The following is an 8,654-nucleotide window of genomic DNA, read 5'->3' as shown; positions in this document are numbered from 1 at the left end:
CTAGACCTCAATGGGTATAGAACAAAGTAGTTTCCTAATTGTAAATTAGGACAATTATCTTGCAATTAATTGAATGTTCTTATTCCTGTAGCAAATCTTAGCATGGCCATGAATTTTTCTCAGCTTGTGCTATTCTCTGCTGTGCTGCTACAGGGGAGGGCTGCAGTTGAACTTCTTATAATCAACCAGTGTGCTCATTAGCGTGCTTGGAAGGCCTGAAGGATGGTGTGCACTCAGAGGAATTAAAAAAAATTAATCTTGTGGAAAGGCCTGGTAATTAGGCAGCTCAAGTGAAGGGAATGGCCAAGCCATTATAAGCACTGTCAGGCCTAGTAATGCATGTTGTAACACACACACAGGTTCACAACCTCTTCCAGTGTACCTGTGGCCCAGGCAGCCTTGGGGTCTTCCCTCTGGGGAGTCAAGAGTGGGTCACATCCTCCATTTTTGGCCTTGTTGGCTTTAATACATGGAAAAAAAAAGCTTTACATGAAATGGCCCATTTCACTTGGATGGAATACAAATTCACTTCTCCATATGCCCAGATATATGACATAGCACATTATCTACAAAATTAAGAATGAATGGGGCTGGGCTTGGTGGCTCATGCCTATAAGCCCAGCACTTTGGGAAGCCAAGGCAGGTGGATCACTTTGAGGTCAGGAGTCCAGACCAGCCTGGCCAACATGGCAAACACTGTCTATACTAAAAATACAAAAATTACCCAGCTGTGGTGGTGCACACCTGTAGTCCCAGCTACAAGGAAGGCTGAGGCAGGAGAATTGCTTGAACACAGGAGGAAGAGATTGCAGTGAGCCGAGATCGTGCCACTGCACTCCAGCCTGGGTGACAGAGCGAGACTCAGTCTCAAAAAAAAAAAAAAAAAACAAAGAATGGCCGATTTCTCCCACTTATCTTCAGTCCTAAATGTAGCTAATGCTGCGAGTGCCCTGTCCATCTCCCCTTGGCACTCACCATTCTGTACACACAGACAGAGTCTTACTGCAAGCACCTGTGACTCTGTCTGAGAACATCCTCAAGCCACATCAGCATGGGTGGCCCCTGTATGTGGCAACCAGAAGTGTCAGGAAATAATGCTCCCAGCACTGTCCTAAGTCAATGAGAAAGAAGTGGATGAATAAATACCCCAGCTTCTTTGCCTCTAGGGAAGAACAATCTGAGGCTTATTCTGTACTGTCTTCCAAGGTCCCCAGCGTGGACCCGTTGTTCGGAGCTGCTCGTGCTCAGGAATACATCTTTCATTGTCTGTTTTCCCATCTCTGACTCAGCTCCCCTTTCTGTCACCAATGCTCCTAAGGATTAGCACCCAAAGAAACTACTCCGACTCAAATCCTCTCCTCCGGGAATGCTTTTGGGGAAACCCAAGTGAAGACACAGGCAATTCACCAGCTGAAGATCGAGTCCATCCCATGGCAGGGCGGGCAGCTATACCTCGCTAATAAGTGTGATGCACCCTGGGATATCAGCGGAGGGAGGGGCAGAATTTAGATCACACTCATGAGTCAGAAAAACAGGCTATGGAGTAGATCTCCCCAGAAAAGCATTATTGATCTTGTCCAATAAAACAAACAAAAACAAACAAACTGGGAGATTTCAAGGCAACAAAGTTAATGGAAAACAATGTCCCATAAATTACCTAAGACTGAATGATATTGCTGCAAATCCATCTTTAGGATCTTAGCTAAGGTCTACAGTTTACTCTAATCATTGAAAATTTATTGCCATCACCTGGACAATTGTTCTCGTCCTTATCAGGTGCAAATCACCTTGTAGAAATGAATGGTTTCATGTCTCTCTACCATCCTGACCTGCAATCCATAGACAATGTAATGACCCACCAGGTAATTTTTTAATCTGTAGGTGCCCTAACTCAACACATGGAGAAATAAAAGGTGAGTAATTATGTAAATGAACGTCATGTACTGGGGCATCCACATGAACACCCCCAGGCGGGAGCTTACTGGACGACAACATGAAGAACCCTGACGCTTGCCACAAGCCTGTGGCGTCTCCAGGCATGGAAGCACTGCTAATGCGGGCTCATTCCACAGCCCAGTGGCTGATACCAGCAGCAGTGCTGCCACTGATGGCAAGAGATTCCAAAAGTGCCAACAATTGTTGAAGTTTCCGCCAAGACCAGTGACAACTTCCCATGATTTCCCGACAGTGGTATTCCTGTGGAAACTGATGTCTATGCGCGGTACGAAAGATGTGTTTATACTGTCCTTAGTGGCTCGTGCTTTTGCATGTACGCTTTCAAGGTGAAATGGCAAGTAGTCGAGTGCCGGCGCGGGCAGCAGACCCGGAAGTGCAGCGAGTGAGCCTCGCGCCCAGGAAGCCAGAGAAGCAGGGGGCGCCTGGAATCTGCGGTGTGCGGCAAGTGCGCACGCGCGCAGACGCGCAGACGGCGCGCAGTAGCTGACCCCGGCCCTCCCGTTCATTTCCGGTGCAGCACTCAGAGACGCGAAGCCCAGGCCACGACAATCACCCCTCAGGTACCGATGTTTTCAGAAACCCTCAAACAGATTGGGTAGCGCTTCCCTGGGGGCAGGTTTCTGGGCAGGTGCCCAGACGCGCCTAGAAGCTGACCCCGGCCCTCCCGCTCACTTCCGTTCCAGGCCGCAGAGACGCGAAGTCCGACCACGACGACGACCCCTCAGGTACCGATGTTTTCAGAAACCCTCAAACAGATTGGGTAGCGCTTCCCTGGGGGCAGGTTTCTGGGCAGGTGCCCAGACGCGCCTAGAAGCTGACCACGGCCCTCCCGCTCACTTCTGTTCCAGGCCGCAGAGACGTGAAGCCCGGGCCACGACGACGACCCCTCAGGTACCGATGTTTTCAGAAACCCTCAAACAGATTGGGTAGCGCTTCCCTGGGGGCAGGTTTCTGGGCAGGTGCCCAGACGCGCCTAGAAGCTGACCCCGGCCCTCCCGCTCACTTCTGTTCCAGGCCGCAGAGACGTGAAGCCCGGCCACGACGACGACCCCTCAGGTACCCATGTTTTCAGAAACCCTCAAACAGATTGGGTAGCGCTTCCCTGGGGGCGGGTTTCTGGGCAGGTGCCCGTGTTGAACTCAGTGTGGACTTGCGGCGTCTTGCGGGCCTGTAGATTAATATGACAGCCGTGATTCCACCCTGCTTCACCAACGCACATGCGTTTTCTCTCCTCTTAGGGGCCCTGTTTTCTGTTACAATGGATCGAGATTTAGAACAGGCTCTGGATCGCACAGAGAATATCACTGAAATTGCCCAACAGAGACGTCCTAGAAGGAGATACTCACCTAGGGCGGGAAAAACTCTGCAGGAAAAACTTTATGACATTTATGTTGAAGAATGTGGAAAAGAGCCTGAGGATCCTCAGGAATTGAGAAGCAATGTAAACTTGTTAGAAAAGCTTGTTAGGAGAGAGTCCTTGCCATGTTTACTGGTCAATCTATACCCAGGCAATCAGGGGTATTCTGTGATGCTCCAGAGAGAAGATGGGTCCTTTGCAGAGACCATTCGGCTGCCTTATGAAGAAAGGGCATTGCTGGACTACTTGGATGCAGAAGAATTACCCCCTGCTTTGGGTGATGTCCTGGATAAAGCTTCGGTTAACATTTTTCATAGTGGGTGTGTCATAGTAGAAGTTCGTGACTACAGGCAGTCCAGTAATATGCAACCTCCTGGTTACCAAAGCAGGCATATTCTTCTACGTCCAACCATGCAGACTTTAGCCCCTGAGGTGAAGACGATGACAAGAGATGGCGAGAAATGGAGCCAGGAAGACAAATTTCCTCTTGAGAGTCAACTGATCTTAGCGACAGCTGAACCACTGTGTCTTGATCCTTCTGTAGCAGTTGCCTGCACTGCAAACAGGCTGCTGTACAACAAGCAAAAGATGAATACCGACCCGATGGAACAGTGCCTCCAGAGGTATTCGTGGCCCTCTGTAAAGCCACAGCAGGAGCAGTCTGACTGTCCACCTCCTCCTGAGCTGAGAGTGTCGACTTCTGGCCAAAAAGAAGAAAGAAAAGTAGGTCAGCCTTGTGAGCTGAACATTACTAAAGCGGGAAGTTGTGTAGACACGTGGAAAGGCAGACCCTGTGATTTGGCCGTGCCTTCAGAAGTGGATGTGGAGAAACTTGCTAAAGGGTATCAGTCCGTCACAGCTGCTGACCCACAGCTCCCAGTCTGGCCAGCCCAGGAGGTAGAAGACCCTTTCAGACATGCATGGGAAGCTGGCTGTCAGGCCTGGGACACCAAGCCAAACATCATGCAGTCGTTTAATGATCCGCTTCTCTGTGGTAAAATACGGCCACGTAAAAAAGCCAGGCAGAAGAGCCAGAAGTCTCCCTGGCAGCCCTTCCCAGATGACCATTCAGCTTGTCTCAGGCCTGGGTCAGAGACTGATGCTGGGAGGGCAGTGAGTCAGGCCCAGGAATCGGTGCAGAGCAAAGTCAAAGGTCCAGGCAAGATGTCACACAGCTCCAGTGGCCCAGCCAGTGTCAGTCAGCTCTCTTCATGGAAAACACCAGAACAGCCTGATCCTGTGTGGGTCCAGTCTTCAGTATCCGGGAAGGGAGAGAAACATCCACCTCCCCGCACCCAACTTCCCTCAAGCTCAGGAAAGATTTCCTCAGGTAACAGTTTTCCCCCACAACAGGCAGGCAGCCCTCTTAAGCGTCCATTTCCTGCTGCTGCTCCTGCTGTAGCTGCTGCTGCTCCTGCTCCTGCTCCTGCTCCTGCTGCTGCTCCTGCTTTAGCTGCTGCTGCTGTGGCGGCGGCGGCCGGTGGGGCGGCACCAAGCCATTCTCAGAAGCCCTCTGTGCCTCTTATTAAAGCTAGCAGGCGCCGTCCAGCTGCCGGGCGCCCCACCAGATTCGTAAAAATAGCCCCAGCCATTCAGGTCCGGACAGGCTCCACTGGCCTAAAGGCCACCAACGTGGAGGGCCCAGTCCGGGGAGCCCAGGTTTTGGGGTGCAGTTTCAAGCCTGTGCAGGCCCCTGGCTCGGGTGCCCCCGCTCCTGCAGGAATCAGTGGCAGTGGCCTTCAGTCCTCAGGAGGTCCACTACCAGATGCAAGGCCCGGTGCAGTGCAGGCATCTTCTCCAGCACCCCTTCAGTTTTTCCTAAATACTCCGGAAGGTCTCAGGCCTCTGACACTCCAGGTTCCGCAGGGCTGGGCGGTTCTGACCGGCCCGCAGCAGCAGTCCCATCAGCTGGTTTCCCTGCAGCAGCTCCAGCAGCCCACAGCTGCTCACCCTCCTCAGCCAGGGCCACAGGGTTCCACACTAGGTTTGAGCACGCAAGGGCAGGCCTTCCCTGCTCAGCAACTTCTTAATGTGAACCTCACTGGAGCAGGTAGTGGTCTGCAGCCCCAGCCCCAGGCTGCTGTGTTGAGTCTGCTTGGCTCTGCCCAGGTTCCTCAGCAGGGTGTCCAGCTCCCCTTTGTCTTGGGGCAGCAGCCACAGCCGCTGCTGCTGCTGCAGCCACAACCACAGCCACAGCAGATCCAGCTCCAGACACAGCCTTTGAGAGTCCTGCAGCAGCCAGTGTTTTTGGCAACAGGCGCTGTTCAGATAGTGCAGCCACATCCAGGTGTGCAAGCAGGGAGCCAGTTGGTAGGTCAGAGGAAGGGAGGCAAGCCAACCCCTCCAGCTCCCTGAGGCTTGTGGTAGTTTGTTCTCTTTTAAAAGCATGGGAGCACTGACCCACATGAATTCCCAGTTTTTACTTGAGTTTTGTTTTTTTTCTCATGTTTTGGTATTTTACATTTTAAAATACACACTTTACACAGAAGCACAATCCACCGATTTTTATTTAGAAACAGGAAGTGATTTCCTAAAGGGGCATTGTTTTGCTTAAGTTACTCCTTTTGTTGTCATTGCTGTTGATATAATTGTTTTTAATATAGTATTTTAAAGTGTCCAAATCCTAACCAGGTTGAGTTTAAACTTGTGAAGCATATTTCTCTAGAGCCATAAAATGGCAGTACCAACAATGTTAAGTTAATATTTTAACAAGATTTTAATTTTAAGTTAATATTTTAACAAGAAGAGCGCAATTTAAAATTTTTAATGGTGATAAAAACATATAATCTAAAATGGACCACCTTCACTATTTTAAGTGCCCAGTGCAATAGTATTAAGTCCACCCCCACGGTTGTGCCGCAGATCTCAAGACCATCTTGCAACACTGAAACTCATGCCCATTGAACACCAGCTCCCCATTCTCCCTCATCCAGTCCCTGGCAGCCATTGTTCTACTTTCTTTCTCTATGAGTTGACTACCCTGGCCATTTCATGGAAGTGGAATCATATGGCATTTGTCACTTGGTGAGTGGCTTATCTCACTTGGCATAATGTCCTCATGATTTATCCCTGCTGTCTCATGTGATGTGAAGGTCATTGCTTTTTAAAAATGGTCTCACTGTACATAATATATATGAAAGTGACCTATAAACTCTGAGAAACCTCTTTCAGAAGAAAGAGTGTAATCGTATTCACATTAATAGGTTTATGCACAATATATGGAATGGAATTATTACACATTCATTTTGAAAAATGAAAAAAAAGTACAGTACAGTGATGCTTGTCACACTGCGATTGAATACATGGGAGACCTCTAAAGCTGTGGAATGGAATTAGTGGCAGATTTGCTTGTGTGACAGTCCCCTGCCCTTTCAAAGGCCCTGTCTGCACCTAGTGCTCCACAGAGCAAGGCTTTCTCACTGGCTTTGAAAAGGCTCTTTTTGGATGTTTTTTTTTTTTTTTTTTTTTTTCTTTTTTTTTTTATTTTTATTATTTTTTTCTTTTTTTTTTTAATTTTTTTTTTTAATTTTTTTTTTTTTATTATACTCTAAGTTTTAGGGTACATGTGCACATTGTGCAGGTTAGTTACATATGTATACATGTGCCATGCTGGTGCGCTGCACCCACTAACGTGTCATCTAGCATTAGGTATATCTCCCAATGCTATCCCTCCCCCCTCCCCCGACCCCACCACAGTCCCTTTTTGGATGTTTTGTGTGCTCTCTTTATAAAATCATTTACATTTTTTGTAGGTTGTTTGCAAGAAACATTTAGTGAAACATTTGAAAATCCATTTTATTGGTTTGCTTTTCAAATATCTGTAGCCTTGTTTCTTAAGTAGAACCCCCGTCTTTTTCTTTGTCTTTTTCTCTTTGTTGATGCATCATCATCAGTTGTTCAGCTGTTTCTGCTCCCTCATTTTTTCCCTTGTTCCAGTGAGACTCAAAGAACCATGAACTTTTGTGCCCCTTTGTCTTCCCTTTCTTTTTTCTTTTTTAACAACTAAGGGGTAATCACAGAACAACCAACCATTGTAAAGTACAATTGTAAAGTGGCATTTAGTACATTCATGATGTTGTACAACTACCCCTTCTGTTTCCAAAACATTTTCATCACCCACCAAGCAATCTCTGTACCCATTAAGCACTAGCGTGACATCTTCACACTCCCAGCCTCTGGCAACCACCAATTTGCTTTCTGTTTCTATGGATTTACCTAAATATTTCCTGTAAATGTAGTCATACAGTATGTGATCTTTTGTGTCTGGCCTCTTTCACTCGGCATAATGTTTTTGAAGTTCTTCCATGTCGTAAAATGTATTGCTAATTCATTCCTTTCTGTGGTTCGATAACATTCCATTGTTTGTATATAGCACATTTTTGTTTATTCTGATGATGGACACTTGGGTTGTTTCTACCTTTTGGGCGCTGTGCATAGAGCTGCTGTCAACTTTCATGTACAAGCATCTGTTCTAGCACCTCATATTTTGCTCTGTTAAAACCTTGAAGGGTACCCTATGTAATATTAGTTTTTCTAGGTACACATGTACATTTCTCTGTTTTTTGCCTTAACAAAATAGAAGGAGATTTGATCTGGCATTCCAAAAGACATCAGTAAAGAGACAGGTATCCAGTGAATCTTACTTGATGAACCCTTTTACTAATGTGCTACCGATGCTGTTAAAGATTTGACCAACTTCAAGCAAACACGTCGAATTTCCTAAGTGACACCAAGTCCATCAGAGCAGCCTGGACATAATTGGGAATGGTGCCTGCACTTTTAAGAGGCGAACGAGTGCAATGACCAGTTGTAGAGAAGAGTTTATGCATGGCCTTCGGAGCTAAGCAGTGACCTGAATTCAGTATGTCACCAAATTTGGTGTGCTTTCTCCTTTGCCTGCTGCTTCTTTCAAGTAGGACATGGAGACAACAGCCAAATTTGTGCTTCAGTGATGTGACCTTCCCTTCCCAGGCAGGCAAATAAATTTAGTTTTGTTTCTGATTATCATTTGGTGGTCTTTATTTCCTTATAATGATCCTCAAAACAGTTGATAATTGGATGCAACTGCCACAATGATGAAGAGAAAAGAATATAACCCTTGAAATAAAACCCTAGAGTATGTATTTATTTAAACACCTATATAAGGAGGATTTTCCACAATAATGTTGGAGATGGGGGAGAAGACAGACCAAAGAAAAGTAAAAATGCCTCTTTAGGACCTAGATGGTATTCAACCCTCATCTCATTGTGTCCTTCAGTAATTTAAGCTAGATTTACAGAATAATGAAATGTCAATAGATGAGTACGCAATAGAAAGAATGAGAAATAGGTTGGGGCAAAA

At 47.0% G+C, this 8,654-nt stretch overlaps 1 protein-coding gene across 1 annotated transcript, besides 1 other annotated feature; it reads left to right on the top strand.

Annotated features, from left to right (window-relative positions):
• The first annotated feature begins 2,460 nt into the window (after window positions 1-2,460).
• On the top strand, window positions 2,461-8,320 carry SUPT20HL2 (SUPT20H like 2). Its single transcript, NM_001136233.3, has one exon. The coding sequence runs from the start codon at window positions 3,215-3,217 to the stop codon at window positions 5,666-5,668; it is 2,454 nt and encodes an 817-aa protein (NP_001129705.3). The 5' UTR covers window positions 2,461-3,214; the 3' UTR covers window positions 5,669-8,320.
• Window positions 5,127-5,879: an enhancer, noted in NCBI's record as "H3K4me1 hESC enhancer chrX:24328768-24329520 (GRCh37/hg19 assembly coordinates)". NCBI's record gives its function as "activates a minimal SCP1, AML or CMV promoter by ChIP-STARR-seq in naive H9 embryonic stem cells {active_cell/tissue: H9 hESC(naive)}" and the evidence as "EXISTENCE:reporter gene assay evidence [ECO:0000049][PMID:30033119]".
• Window positions 8,321-8,654: the final 334 nt, after the last annotated feature.

Source organism: Homo sapiens, chromosome X (genome assembly GCF_000001405.40).
Source record: "Homo sapiens chromosome X, GRCh38.p14 Primary Assembly".
NCBI lineage: Eukaryota > Metazoa > Chordata > Mammalia > Primates > Hominidae > Homo > Homo sapiens.
The sequence above is the reverse complement of the archived record's forward strand: the minus strand, read 5'-3'. Positions and strand labels throughout refer to the sequence as shown.

Bases quoted from the DNA above. Each gene is read 5' to 3' on its own strand.
- SUPT20HL2 (NM_001136233.3), top strand. From the start codon at position 3,215: ATGGATCGAGATTTAGAACAGGCTCTGGATCGCACAGAGAATATCACT.